The 14,660-nt window shown below is 41.6% G+C and overlaps 1 protein-coding gene and 2 long non-coding RNA genes across 7 annotated transcripts in view; 2 read left to right on the forward strand and 1 right to left on the reverse strand.

Moving 5' to 3' along the window:
* The window catches only part of LOC107986129 (uncharacterized), a 90,956-nt gene extending 78,292 nt beyond the window's left edge, over positions 1-12,664 (reverse strand). The window contains exons 1-3 of the long non-coding RNA XR_001740896.2: positions 12,583-12,664; positions 9,378-9,461; positions 7,619-7,655 (exon numbers count right to left, since the gene is read on the reverse strand). This is a non-coding gene — a long non-coding RNA (uncharacterized LOC107986129). The remainder of the gene's footprint in view (positions 1-7,618; positions 7,656-9,377; positions 9,462-12,582) is intronic.
* Positions 1,120-4,080, forward strand: LOC124909427 (uncharacterized). Its single transcript, XR_007096071.1, has 2 exons — positions 1,120-1,373; positions 3,760-4,080. It is a non-coding gene; the product is annotated as an uncharacterized LOC124909427 (long non-coding RNA).
* Positions 4,646-14,660, forward strand: part of KBTBD12 (kelch repeat and BTB domain containing 12) — a 72,446-nt gene continuing 62,431 nt past the window's right edge. For 3 of the 5 annotated variants that reach the window (XM_047447589.1, XM_047447590.1, XM_047447591.1), the window contains exons 1-2: positions 4,889-5,323; positions 12,364-13,545. In XM_047447589.1, coding sequence (XP_047303545.1) covers positions 12,476-13,545 — 1,070 coding nt within the window. In that variant the 5' untranslated portion in view covers positions 4,889-5,323; positions 12,364-12,475. Of the gene's footprint in view, positions 5,324-12,363; positions 13,546-14,660 lie in introns of all 5 variants that reach the window. The other 2 variants (NM_001370224.1, NM_207335.4) reach the window with 1 other exon arrangement.

Genomic DNA, 14,660 nt, shown 5'->3' on the forward strand with positions numbered 1-14,660 from the left:
TAATCCCTGTCCTCAGGGAGCTCACATTTGGGGGTGAGAGTGAATAGACAAGACAAAAGGAATCAGCAAATTATATAGTGGTAATCAGTTCAGCTCCTGTTTCTTATCTCTCTTTCAAGGTGCTCTTTGTAGCATGCTGAAACTAAGGTTCCAGGCCAGACCTTGTATTATGTCAAGCCTTCCATCTTGACAGTCCACAAGCTGATGTGTGTGACAGTCCACAAGCTAATGTGTGTGAGAAACAGAACCTGATTGTGCTAACAAGTTCTAGTTGAAGCCCCCAGGCCACCAGGATGCCCAATCCTTCCCCTTTCCCAGGGTCACCTCTAAGTTTGGGAGGGGGGCTCTTACCAAGACACCAGAGTCAGGGGAAGGGGCATCCTTCTGGAACTCGACGTCTGCCATCTGTCTGCACTGACACCCACAGAGAGGTCCACTGTCCTTGGTTCTTGGTTGTGTGAGGGCTCCCTATGTGCCTGTCTGCATGGGCCCCCTTGGTTCAGTGGCTCTCTCTACTGTATCAGGGCCTTGGGGACACCAAGGCCTCTGGAAGAGCTGTCTGGAGCCCTCGCTGTTCAGCCACACTATGAAGTCGTTGCTGCCCACTGGGTTCTGGCTGCCTCCCTGTGACCCTTCTCAGCAAGGGAGACAGCCATTCCTTCTCTCCTTAGATCCCACAAGCCTCCCTACAATTAGTCCAGCCAAACAGGATGCAGGTCTTCTTCCTCAAAGCCTAGGAAAATCTATGCTCTCCTTCCTTGTTCTTCAGAAACTGCCTCCTCTCCTCAGCTGGGGAAGGGGATATGGCAGGAGGATGCACTGCTCTAATTTAGGTTGTCGCCCAAATGTTTCATGCATGCCAGTAACGCGTGGCTTTCCTGAAAGGGCCTGGACTTCTGGAATGGAACGTGTTAAGAGGAGACCATTTCCTCCATTCCCTCCTTGTTTTCCACCGGCCTGACTCTCCCCCTGAGGCAATGAGCCTGGAATAGTTTTACTTTTTGGAACGGATTAGAGGAACAAAGTCTCCTAAAGGAAATACATGATGAAGGAGGATGGAAAGAAGCAGCTGATACTTTTTAAAAAAATCACTCCACAGACAACATCATGCAGCAGCAGAACTGGTGCAAGCTAGTAAGAGGGCAGACATGGAAAAAAAAGAGAAGAAAGCTGGCACCACTGGGGTGTGGCTGCTCTTCGTGCTGCGGCAGGCTGTTTTGGGGATTGAATGAAGTTGCTTGTTTTTCATTTAAGAGCCAGGGTTTATCTAATGAGGAAACTGCTTAAGCCAAGTTACAGACTTGGCTCAAGACAAGAACCAGGCTGTGCTGTGTGAGAAGTACTATTTCAGACGTGTATTCCTCCTTCAAAAGGTACGAATGATATGGAGTGGGAGTGGGTGTGTGGAAAAAAAAATGGTTTCTGTGTCAATAAAAAGCTGCCCAGAGTCTAGTCACAATAAAAGGGAGCCAGACAGGGGTAGATCAGCTTCAAAGAATAAAGGAATAAATTATATAAAAATAACAAAATCTGCACACAGGAATACAGAGAAACAACTCAACACTGTAAGAAAGCAAAGACTGAAAATAAAGCTTTGAATAGAAAGAGGAGGGAAAATACCTCAAGAAGAGAGAGACAGAGAGCGAGAGAGAGCGAGAGCAAGAGAGAGAGACCCAGTAGGAAGGAGCAGTAAATAGAAAAAGAATAGTAAGTTACTGCTGAGTAAAAAAGTACATATTCATATATGATATATTCCAGATGCATATTCCTTAAATCAAGTTATTGATAAATCAGTAGATTTGATAAATATTAATACTTCATTAATCATTTGGCACATGGATGTTTTGAGAATCAACTATAGTCACTCAGTGATATGGCCCAGCATCTAAATTAGCCTCCAGACCCCAAGCCCTGACTCTTCATAGCATATTCCACTTCTTCCTGAAACAAATGAAAAAGGTAAAATAAAGTAGCCCAATAGGAAATTGAACAGCGCCTTCAAAGCAAGCTGAGAAAGATTCATTAGGTTCACACAAACATCTCATAAACAAAACCAGAAGCAGGAAAGAAAATAGTCGCAGAAGGATCTAACTAGGACTAACTGGATCAAGGGATGTTTGTGGGGAAAGGATACAGGAATTTCCCCAAATAACTGTAAGTATGTATGTGTATGCTCGACAGGCTGAGGTGGGAGGATGGCTTCACCCCAGGAGTTTGAGACAATCCTGGGCAACATAGCGAGATCCTATCTCTCTCTAAAAAAAATTAAAATTTAGCCAGGCATGGTGGCACACACCTGTAATCCCAGCTATTTGGGAGACTGAAGTGGGAGGTTCACTTAAGCCCAGGAGTTCGAGGCTGAAGTGAGCTATGATTGCACCACTGCACTCAAGCCTAGATGACAAAGTGAGACCCTGTCTCTAAAAAAGGAAAAAAAAAAAAAAAGTAAGTGTAAATACGAATGCATGCAAGCATTCTTCATTGACATGAATACCTTCTAAAATGTTTAAAGGGACTTTACTTACCATATAAAATCTGTTTTGTTTTCAATGTGGTATATAAAGGCACACATATACACAGAAAAATATTATTCAGCCTTAAGAAAAGAAAGGACATTATACTCAGTTAAATAAGCCAGTTACAAAAGGAGAAATTCTGGCCAGGAGCGGTGGGTTACTCCTGTAATCCCAGCACTTTGGGAAGCTGAGGCGAGTGGATCACCTGAGGTCAGGAGTTTCAGACCAGCCTGAGCAACATGGTGAAACCTCGTCTCTGCTAAAAATACAAAAATTAGCTGGGCGTGGTGGAGCACGACTGTAATCCCAGCTACTTGGGAGGCTGAGGTAGGTGAATCACTTGAACGGGGGAGGCAGAGGTTGTAGTGAGCTGAGATCGCACCACTGAACACCAGCCTGGGCGACAGAGCAAGACTCCGTCCCCATCCCCCTCCCCCAAAAAAGGACTAATTCTGTATGATTTTGCTCATATAAGGCACCTAGAATAGGCAAATTCGTAGAGGCAAAAAGTAGAATAGTGGTTACCAGGTGCTAAAGGGGAGGGAGAAATAAGTTATTGTTTAAGGAGTACCAAGTTTCTTTTGAGAGGATGAAAAAATTCTGGAAATGGATACTGGATATGGTTGTACAACATTATTAACATAATGCCACTGACTATGCTTAAAAATGATTAAAATGATAAATGTTATGTTATGTATATTTTACCACAATAAAAAAAAAGGAAGAGGTGGGCAGAAGAGTTAGTGTCAAAGTGATGCTGAGAGGTGAAGCCAGCTGCACTTCTGGGTTGGGTGGGGACTTGGAGAACTTTTCTGTCTTACAAGAGGATTGTAAAATGCACCAATCAGCACTCTGCAGCTAGGATTGTAAAACGCACCAATCAGCGCTCTGTGGCTAGCTAGAGGTTTCTAAAATGGGCCAATCAGCACTCTGTAAAAACACACCAATCAGCTCTCTGTGGCTAGCTAGAGGTTTGTAAAATGGACCAATCAGCACTCTGTAAAATGGACCAATCAGCACACTGTAAAATGGACCAATCAGCACTTGGTAAAATGGACCAATCAGCAGGACATGGGCAGGGACAAATAAGGGAATAAAAGCTGGCCACCCAGTCAACACAGGGAACCCAGTCAGGTCCATTTCTAGGTTGTGGAAGCATTGTTCTTTTGCTCTTCACAATAAATTTTGCTGCTCCTCACTGTTTGGGTCCATGTGACCTTTAAAGCTTTCTTTAACATTTAAGGTCCGTGGCTTCATTCTTGAAGTTAGCGAGATGGAGACCACAAGCCCACTGAAAGGAACCAACTGCAGACACAATGCATGTGAGAAAGACTCAGCCCTATTTTCTGGCTTTGAAGCTGGAGGAAGGAGCCAGGAGCAAAAGAATGAAGACAGTTTCCAGAAGCTGCAAAAGGGCAGGGACAGATTCACTCCAGGAAGCCCCAGAAACAAACACAGTCCTGCTGACACCTTGATTTCAATCCAGTGAGACATATTTTGGACTTCTGACCTACAGAGCTAAAATAATAGTAAGATAATAAAGTTATGTTGCCACCACTGAAAACAGTTTTATTTTGCTTTGGTTTAAGCTAACTGAGCTAATACAGCTGCCGTATTTTATGACACTTGCCTAAGGAAGACTTCCCATCCCTGCACTGCTCCCGGCTAACCAGTCCTTTCTCGGGACTCCTGGAAACCTCCCACTCTCAGAGAGGTGTAGGGTATAAAAATCACAAGCTGATGGCTCAGGATGTAGCAAATAAAAATACAAGACCAAAACGAAACCCAACCGGAACACCGAGTTAAACGTGAATTGACCATGCGATATTTGGGACATACTTAACACTAAAAATTACTGGTTGTGTATCTGAAATTTACCTTTAACTGGGCTCATGTATTTTACCGGGCAACCCTACCCCCCGGTCACAGTGAGACTACACACGGGGTCTTTTGGTCATTTTGCAAGTGTAAAAGACTAACGGGAACACCGGCATTTTTCAAAGCTCGATTTCCAAACCTCCTTTAAACACTTGTCCCCATCCCCTCCCCGCAGGCCTTCAGTCGCTCTGGCACGCGGGCCAGCGCGGGAACACTCTGCGCAGGCGCACAGCGTTCCGCGGGGGACGCTCAGTAGGGTACGGGACGCGCGCGGGGAGACCCTGTGCAGCGACACCGGGGCTGTAGTCGCCGTCTGGAACCAGCGCGGGAATAGGTGCGCAGGCGCACAGTGGCTGGAGGGCAGCGGCGGCGTGGTCTCGGGCCACTTCCAAGCAGAGGGCAGCACCTGTCCCCTCGGAGGCGCTGCCAGCGCCCTCCCTCCTCCTCCGCAGGGCGCGGGACCTCTATTTATATCGCCCAGCCAGCACAGGCCCATATTGGGCAGTGGCCTCAGTCAGGCCCGCTGGCCGCCCTGCCACACGGTAGCGTCCAAGCCAGGTCGTGGCCCAGCGAGTGGGGACGCGCCCCGAACCAGGCAGCACCTTCGTAAGTAGGGGTAGCGCCCCGGGGGAACGCGGCCCCCAGTCACAAGCCCTGCCTCAACTCCGGGCCAGGTTGAACCTGGGCGCCGACCCGGGGCCACCGGCACTTGCAGCCTCGGCTCTAAGTGACTTCCTTCGAGTCGCAGTGGGCCGGCGCCTGGCGTCAGGTGGGGCTCCCAGGAGCTGCTCCTCCAGGCCATCTCTGCCGTCTCCGACCTTCACCGTCGGGTTGTTCAGGCTCGTAGTCTGCATAGTATTATCATCCTCCGAATTACCTGACCAATGTATTATTGTGCCTTCCGTCGCTAGACTGTAAGCACAACAAAGGTAAGGGGCACTTCCCTGTTCCTGGTTGTCTTCCCGGAACCTAGGATAGTGCCTGGCACTTAGAAGGGTTCGTTTAAGTTTAATAAACCCTGAATGTATCCCTGAGCAACTCTCTTAACTTTAAAGCCAGGAGAATAATTGCCCTACATTTTCCCCCAAATGATTCTTAAGAGGAACTAATGAGCTATAATGCGGATTAAAGCACTTTGAAAAGTATAAAGCACTGTGAGAATGCAAAACAGTGTGAACTCGGCAAAGAAAAGAAAAGAAAACTGGTCTTATTTGTCTTTATCATCCATGTGCCTGGCTGTTACTGGATGCCCGGTGTGTGGGATGGATTATTATGAAATGAATCAGGTCTTTTTCCATGCTAGTGAGAAGCACAGAGTACATTTAGGGTGGTGCGTGTGTTCTCAGCCATTTCCTACCAGCCTCTGCAAGCGTAGGATTTTAGCAAGATGGTGTTGCTGAAACAAAATAGGGTGTGGAGACGTAATCGTATAAACTGGGGGTCACAAACTTAAATGGCTGTAGGATAATGTAAATGGACAGGAAAGAGAAAAGCAACAGCGTAAGAATTACAAATAATGACTGTCCCTCAGGTCTCAAAGAGGATAATGGGGCCCAGCAGATGTGCCAGCTGAGAGGTGGCAGCTGGGTACTCAGGTCCTGCACATTGTTGCCGCTTGGGAATTAAGGACTCAGTGTTGCCATACCTTTCATTTTTTTCAGTAGATGCTGGAATATTTCAGCTTAGCATGTTGACAGCTAATTTACCAAAAACAAAACAAAAAGCAAAAAAAAAAAAAAAAACTGAGCAGCCAATTTGTAATCTCAGGCGTAAGTGAAGCCAATACATGGCTTCAGTAGTTCCTTAAGAATGGGGCCAAATCCCAGACAGCAAATGACTGGGAATTAATTTTGAGGGTGCAAGTGAAAACTGGGTGTCATAGTGCATCACGCTATAAGCAAGGGAGTCACTTCACGATTCTGAATGATTTGACTGGAACAAGAGGATAGCAACTTGAAGCATTAAGCGTTGGCGAGTGGGAAAAAACACAGAACTGTTTGTCTGCTGCTCTCACACAATGAACACAGAAAATGTCTGTAACCTCTGCTAACCAAGAGGTATGTGGAGACTTCTCCCCATCAGCAACCAATCACTTAGTTCTGCAGCAGACAGCAGCTTGGGTGTCCTCTAACTCAGTGCAATTCTGACACCATCTACCTGGAGACAGCGTCAGATCCCACAGGCTGAGAGCTCAGTCCCACAGGGCTACCACTATCTTCAGACACTAGTCCCAGCATCCAGAGCTTCTGACTGACCCATCTCAAGTTGGGGTTCCCTCTTTGGGTTTAATTTGCTAGGGCAGCTCACAGAATTCAGAAGAACGCTTAAGTTTTCCGGTTTACTATAAAGGATATTAACAAGGATACAGGTGAAGCGATATATAGGATGAGATATGGGGGAAGGGGTACAGCCAGGTGCACCACACTTCGGGAACCCTCCACATGTTCAGCTATCCTGGAAGCTCTCCAAACCTTGTCCTTTTGGGGTTTTTAGGAAGGCTTCATTACATAGGCATGCTTGATTGGTGATCAACTTAACTTTCTGCTCCTCTCCCTGGAGGTCAGGGGATGGAGCTGAAAGTCCCAATGCTCTAATCCTGCCTTATTCTTTCCGGGGACCAGCTCCTATCCTGAAGCTCTAGAGGCTGCCAGCCCTCAGTCAACTCATTAGTGTACAGAAAGGTATTTATCACTTTGGAGATTCCAAGGATTTTAGGAGTTGTATGTCAGGAAAAGGGCAAACACCAAATAAATATTTTATAGTATCACAATAAATTTTATATGTAGAAAAAATCTTGAATATAATCTTTTATTATCATGTACAAAACCTAGAGAAAAGTTATCATTAACTTGTAATTTAGGACTAAACAAAGCATTAATTTAATTGAACAAACCGTATTGAGCAACTCCTGTGTGCTAAGTGTCATCACAGACAAGAATACAGAAATGGCCAGGTATGGTGGCTCAAGCATATAATCCTAGCACTTTGGGAGGCCAGGTCAGGAGGATTGCTTGAGGCCAGGAGTTTGAGACGCACCTGGGCAACACAGTAAGACCCTGTCTCTACAAAAAATAAATAAATAAATTAGGCATAGTGGTGCATGTAGTGGTGCAGCTACAGGGGAGGCTGAGGTCCCAGCCTGGGCAACAGGGCAAGACCCTGTCTCTAAAATAAATAAGTAAACATTTTCAAGAATACAGAAGTGACGAAGACAAGTCCCTTACCCGCAGTGTGCTCATCATTGACAGGAGAGGCAAGCATCTGCAAAAGTGAATGGCAATAGCAGTGCAGCAACCACAGTGTACACAACACAGGCAAGAAAGCAAAGGGATGCGTCAGTGAGGAAGTGATATCTGAGCTGAATTTTGAAGACCAGGTTATATTTTTTCAGGTAGATGGGGGAGATATTTCTGACACAGATTTACACGTGTAAAGACAGAACAGCATGTTAGCCAGGCGCGGTGGCTCACGCCTGTAATCCCAGCACTTTGGGAGGCCGAGGCGGGCAGATCACGAGGTCAGCAGATTGAGACCATCCTGGCTAACACGGTGAAACCCCGTCTCTACTACAAATACAAAAAATTAGCTGGGGGTGGTGGCGGGCGCCTGTAGTCCCAGCTACTCAGGAGGCTGAGGCAGGAGAATGCCGTGAACCCAGGAGGCTGAGCTTGCAGTGAGCCGAGGTCGCGCCACTGCACTCAAGCCTGGGCGACAGAGCGAGACTCCGTCTCAAAAAAAAAAAAAAGAAAAAGAAAAGAGAACAGCGTGTTAAAGGCCCATATGCGTTAGAACTGTAGTAGTTTGGTACTACTCAAAGATTGAAAAATATAAGGAAGGAAAGTCAGGAGACGAGGCAGGAAAGTTTGGGAGGCGCCAGAATGCCTGAATGAGGGGTAGTGTTGGTGAAAACAGGCCCGGGATATTTTTGTAATGTGGGGTAATAACTTTATACACGGTAGTGACCAATGTACAAAAGGATCCCACCCTTAAAAATGGTTTTTTTTAAACAGTGAAACTGGGACATCATTTTCTGACATCATAATGTTGATGTTCCTTGGATTGCCAAGGAACAAAGTGTAAGACCCTGCTCCTGTCCTATCCACAGACTGGAATTTAGCCCTGTCCAAGTCATTTCTCTTGTCTTCAGTCTTTCCTCGATAAAAATCAGTGGGTTTGATGTTGATCAACTCTATCATGATTATAAGCTACTCACTATACTGAATTTTTTTTTTTTCCGAGACACGGTCTCGGAAATAGCAAAAATTTGGAAATAACTTAAACAGCCTGTCACCCAGGCAGGAGTGCAGTGGCACGATCTTGGCTCACTGCAACCTCTGCCTCCCAGGTTCAAGTGATTCTCCTGCCTCAGCCTCCTGAGTAGCTGGGATTACAGGCGCAAGCCCCATGCCCAGCTAATTTTTGTGTTTTTAGTAGAGACGGGGTTTCACCATGTTGGTCAGGCTGGTCTCGAACTCTTGACCTTGTGATCCACCCACCTCGGCCTCCCAAAGTTCACACTGAACATTTTTATGGGAGAAAATACATGCCAGTTTAGGAATGCAGTAACTTCTTTTCCCACTGAAGCAGGATTAGGAATTGTATTTGCTCTTCCCTCTCATACAGGCGGATGCCAGCGATATTGAGGTGGAGGGAGGGCTATAACCACAGTTTTCAAAGCAGTCTTCATTCAGACTAGATAAGGAGGTCATAATTTTTTGTTTTTTCCAATCACTCATAAATTGGGCTACCTACACCCTGACACATTAAAAAGAAAATTCATGATGTATCTATTATCTCTCTCTCTAATATATATATATATGTATATGTAAATCTGATAATTCACACATGGTTTACATGGTTTACAACATTGAGGTTTTTCAAAAGCTGTGACCCTAATGCAGTTTTTTAAAATTTTAAACTTATACAATATTTAAGATATACAAAGAGGCATTAAGAATAATAAAGCATGTCTTGGATACCCACCAAACAGCTGGAGAAATTAAACATTTATACAGTTGAAACTCCTTGTCATCCTTCCCCACTTGCATCCCTCTTTTTCTGCAACTCCTGAAGGGAAACACTGTCTTGAAATTGGGGTTTATAATTACCCTTCATGTCTTTATATTCCACTACAGTTGTACAGATCCTTAAAGAATTTACAATTCCAAGCTTACAGAAAAGTTCCAAGAATGGTACAAAAAACTCCTATATGCCCTATGCCAGATTCACCAAATGCTCATACTTACTTTGTTGAAATCGATCATCAGTATTTACTCTATTAGAACATATAATATTGCTTTGCATATTAGAAATATATCAGTGGTATGTGGCATGTATATTCTACAGTCTTTTTCACACATTATTATGTTTGTGAGATACAGCCATGTTGACGCATGTAGATCTAGTTCATTCTTTTTTTTTTTTTTTGCTGTACTATATTCTCTAGTGAATATACTACAATCTGATCTCCTATTAAGGGATGTTTAAGTTATTTCCAAATTTTTGCTATTTCAAACAGTGCTGCTGTGAATTTAAACTAGTGAAACTTCAGCAGAACATGGAGAGTTTCCTAGAAAAGAAGGCACGGTCATATATCAACCATTATTTCGAGAAAGTAGCAACTTAAGCAGTAAAAATAATATAGTAAAGATAATGTAAAGATTATAAAATTAAACACTGTCAAACATTCGTGGCTTAAAGAAATTGACTTTTTTTGCACCACATTAATATTTACAGTGGTCCATTTCTCAAAATGAAATATAGTGGACAGGAGTATAACTGCTTTTTGGACTTAGAAAGTAATTAGAGTTTATTCTTGTGATTTATATGCATCTTTGCTACTCCATTTTTCTCTATTACTATGAGTACTATTATTATGAATGCACCAGTTCAGTCTTCTATAAATTGAAGCAGTGAGTAACTTCCCATTTATATCACCGAGAACATTTATACAGTTTTGTTTTGCTGATGAAAGGAGAATGTACTTTGCCCTCATTACAAGGGAAAGTTACTATCAGCTCTCTTCACTTAGGAGCTGTGTCTATACCCACAGTGGTTTGTATATGTACCCAAATATTTTTATTATTTGAAAAATATATAGATATATCCTGCTTCACCTTTACCAAGCCAGTTTTACCAAGAAAATTGCATATTGTACATGCATGGCCTTATTTAATTCTCCTGAATATTCTTATGGAATTCTCAAAATGAACTTCAGGTGAGAAAACTAGAACATAAAGAGGCTAAGGAACGTGTTAATATTGCTAGATAATAGAGTAAGGATTCAAAACCAGGTCTCGGTCACCCAAGCCAAAATCTGTGTTCCTAACCTTTGAGCTTACTATGATATATCACTGGAAACTAATAATAATGTCCATTTATTGATCATTTGGATGCCAAAGACTAACTTAGCTACTTTACTTGTGTACATTATTCCCATTTTACAGATGAAGAAGCCAAGGTTTAGGCTAAACTGGGATCCAAACCAGGGAAAGCCCCCATGTACAATGCGAGTGTCTTCTATGTACCTTATATGTACAAGAAACAAAGCTGAGAATGTTTTTTTGAGGTGTGGTGGCTAATATAACTGCCCAGGTATTTTTCTGGATTTCCATCAGTAAATTCATTTGGTCTATAAACCCCTAACAATTAGAGTAGCTTTCAGGAGTTGTATGAAATGCAGTTGGAAGGAAGGGATACAACAAATACATATAGGCCAGTTATTTCCGTTTTCAAATAAATTGTTTTTTGTGGTTGTTGTCAAAGCCAATGTTTTTGAGACAGACAAACTGCATCCAAGCAAAATATTTATTCAAGAAGTTGATTTATGTTTGGGAATCTGGGGATATCCAGATGCTCTTTTTAAAACAGGACCATTTCACTTCTCAAAACTCTTCAGCTGGGTTTAAGCAGAGAAGTGGAGAATAGTCACCCCAAAAGGATATTATCTTACTCATAATCTAGAAATGTATTAACTTTTCCCATCAATGTTATTCTCACTGCTTGCAACTTACAGCCAAGTTAGAACTGGAAAAGGTGGTAGAGACTTGAGATCCTCTTCTAACATTAAGGTTTCTGACTCTAGGAATGTCCTTCTTTAAAACAAACGCTAATTTAAATTAACTTCCTTGAAACATCCCATTTCCATTTATCCAGGGAAGGTGAAGATGAGACAGCTAACTTTAAAAAATTTAGACTAATGCTTTTTAAGGTGAAGAGAGATTCAGTCTCTGCCACTATGAATTGGGGAAAAAATAAAAGCTGAGCAAGGAGGGAGGACAGAGAAATCATATAGTTTTAGGCATTTTCTAAGTTTAGGGTAATTTAGTTGTATATTTTAAATATTGTGACTTTTCAGATCAGCTGACATTTGGTAGTGCCTTCCAAAGCCCAGTAGATATAATCTTTGTGTTATCTACTGCTTTGAATTATTTGTCCCACATCAAAGTTTGAGCAGAATTTTAGTGGACCTTTTTTCAGTTTTTCCTCTTCCAGGGTATATTGTACAAGGCCCCAGTCATGAATTTATGGACTGACTATTATAACAGTTCGGTGTATTTTTTGGAGGGGATGCATATAACCTTTGGGGTGATTTTGCATCTCCTTGGAGAGAATATTAACTGATGCCCCTATACCCTCTGCCTGCAGGTCAGCTGTATTTGGTAACTGGAAATGGAATTGCAAAATGTGCCCAGCTTATCACTTCTCTTTCTATACATGTTGGGAGGGAAATCTTTGCAGTCCTAGAAAAATCTCTGCCACTGATTAGGAGAATTTGTCACAGCAGTTAATTTATTACTGTTTACGTAATCAAAATTAATATTTTTAGATACAAAAGTAGTTGTCTTAAACTGCTCTGCTTGGAGTGAATAATATCTGTTTATAAATACTTTTTTTAGAACTAATGCTGCATATCTAAATTATAGAGAATTTTTTCTTAGAAGGAAACTGCCTTTTTTCTTTCCCTTAGAAATGTTTCCTGACATCTTTGTAGCTTCATGAGTAATCAGACATGCAAATAGCCCCTCAGGAATCAAGCTACACTTAAAGAAGACTTAGTTGGAAACTTTGGAGAGTAGATCATGGAGTGCAAGATTGAGGGAAAAGAAAAATACCAACATAGCTTGAATTTACTGAATAAAATTCAGAACATGAAAGAATTAGCAGAAATGATTGATGTGGTACTCACAGCAGAAGGAGAGAAATTTCCTTGCCACAGACTGGTCCTGGCTGCATTTAGCCCTTATTTCAAAGCTATGTTCACCTGTGGACTACTTGAATGTAATCAAAGGGAAGTCATACTTTATGACATCACAGCAGAAAGTGTGTCGGTGTTATTAAATTACATGTACAATGCAGCTTTGGAGATCAATAATGCCAATGTACAGACTGTAGCTATGGCTGCCTATTTTATGCAGATGGAAGAAGTCTTCAGTGTGTGTCAAAAATATATGATGGACCACATGGATGCCTCCAACTGTTTAGGTATCTATTATTTTGCAAAGCAGATTGGAGCTGAAGATTTATCTGATCGATCAAAGAAATATTTATATCAGCACTTTGCCGAGGTGAGCTTACATGAAGAAATACTAGAAATCGAAGTGCACCAATTTTTGACACTTATTAAATCAGATGATCTTAACATATCCAGAGAAGAGAGCATTCTGGACTTAGTTCTGAGATGGGTAAATCATAACAAAGAATTGCGTACAGTGCATCTTGTTGAGCTTTTGAAGCAAGTCAGATTGGAACTTGTAAATCCTTCTTTTTTAAGACAAGCCCTAAGAAGGAACACAATGCTTCTGTGTGATGCAGATTGTGTTGACATAATTCAAAATGCATTCAAAGCCATCAAGACACCCCAACAGCACTCTCTAAATCTGCGCTATGGTATGGAGACTACCAGTCTTCTGCTTTGCATTGGCAACAATTCTTCAGGAATCAGATCAAGACATAGGAGCTATGGGGATGCCAGTTTTTGTTATGATCCTGTATCACGGAAAACCTATTTCATCTCATCTCCCAAGTACGGAGAGGGTTTAGGAACTGTGTGTACTGGTGTTGTCATGGAAAATAATACTATAATTGTGGCTGGAGAAGCAAGTGCCTCTAAACTCTCTAGACAAAAGAACAAGAATGTTGAAATTTATAGGTTTGTATCTAGCAGCAAATTTGCTTAATTATTTTGTTTTGATACTAGCAGCAGTAGAAGAAAGAACTGCAAAAAGTCATCACATCTTAAATTATTTGTAGTCAAAATTACCCTATACATCTCCCATAAGGAATAGTATACAGAACATGCTTTTGTGTGTCTGTGTGTGTGTGTATACATTTATATATATATATAATCTATAACTCATAAATATAGCATATATAAAAATATATAAATATATAATGTATATTATATAAAATATAAATGTAGCATATATATAACTTTCATAATTAAATCTCCCACATTTTAAAATTTTTTCTCTTCCTTTGTTAACATATAGTTGAATTTGCATAAGTTAAATGTGTTTGTTATGATCCCATTTTAGTTTTCAATCTTAGCTTTATTTATCCATATATAGGGTTTAATATACTGCTTTGTTTTTAAAGATCTTAATATAACAAGAAGGAAAGTTTATTAAAACAGACTCCTTTGAATTTTTTTTTAGTTCGTAATTTAGAGCAATAAGTAATTTTTTCCTTAACCATAAATTACTAATAATCTGTCAGTTTTCATTCTATGTCCTTAATTTGTGGATTTTGCTTAAATCTCCAACACTGTAAAATGTTTGTAGTTGAAGAATGCTTTAATCCTAGAATTGTAGTAAGAGGAAAGAATGCCTGCTAAGAAGTAGCATATCATCTAGGTTTTGCTTATGAGAACAAATAGGTTTATTTACTGTTTATTCAGCCCGTATTAAATGAGTATTTAGCACTTAAATCTAAGTGAGAAAATTAGAAATATGCACATGGAATAAATACTACATAGTAAAACTTTCCCCCAATATTTTTCTCCTCTCAGTTCTCTTTTACCATGGTTTGTTCAGACATTTCAGTCAGAAAGTAATTCTTAGCAGTAAAGATGGGACTAAAGAGGGAATGAAGAGGTCTACTATTTGTCTGTCATCTCCTAGCATTACATTATCTGTCTCAAGCCATAGTCCTGTCCCTTTTCCACATTCATACTTTGAAGATGTGTCTAATCTCCCCTAGTAGGAGAAAGAATGCAGAGCCCTGGCTGGGTGACCTAGACCCGTGCCCATGGGTACCAAGCATGTC

The sequence above is a fragment of the Homo sapiens genome, chromosome 3 (genome assembly GCF_000001405.40).
Source record: "Homo sapiens chromosome 3, GRCh38.p14 Primary Assembly".
NCBI classification, from domain to species: domain Eukaryota; kingdom Metazoa; phylum Chordata; class Mammalia; order Primates; family Hominidae; genus Homo; species Homo sapiens.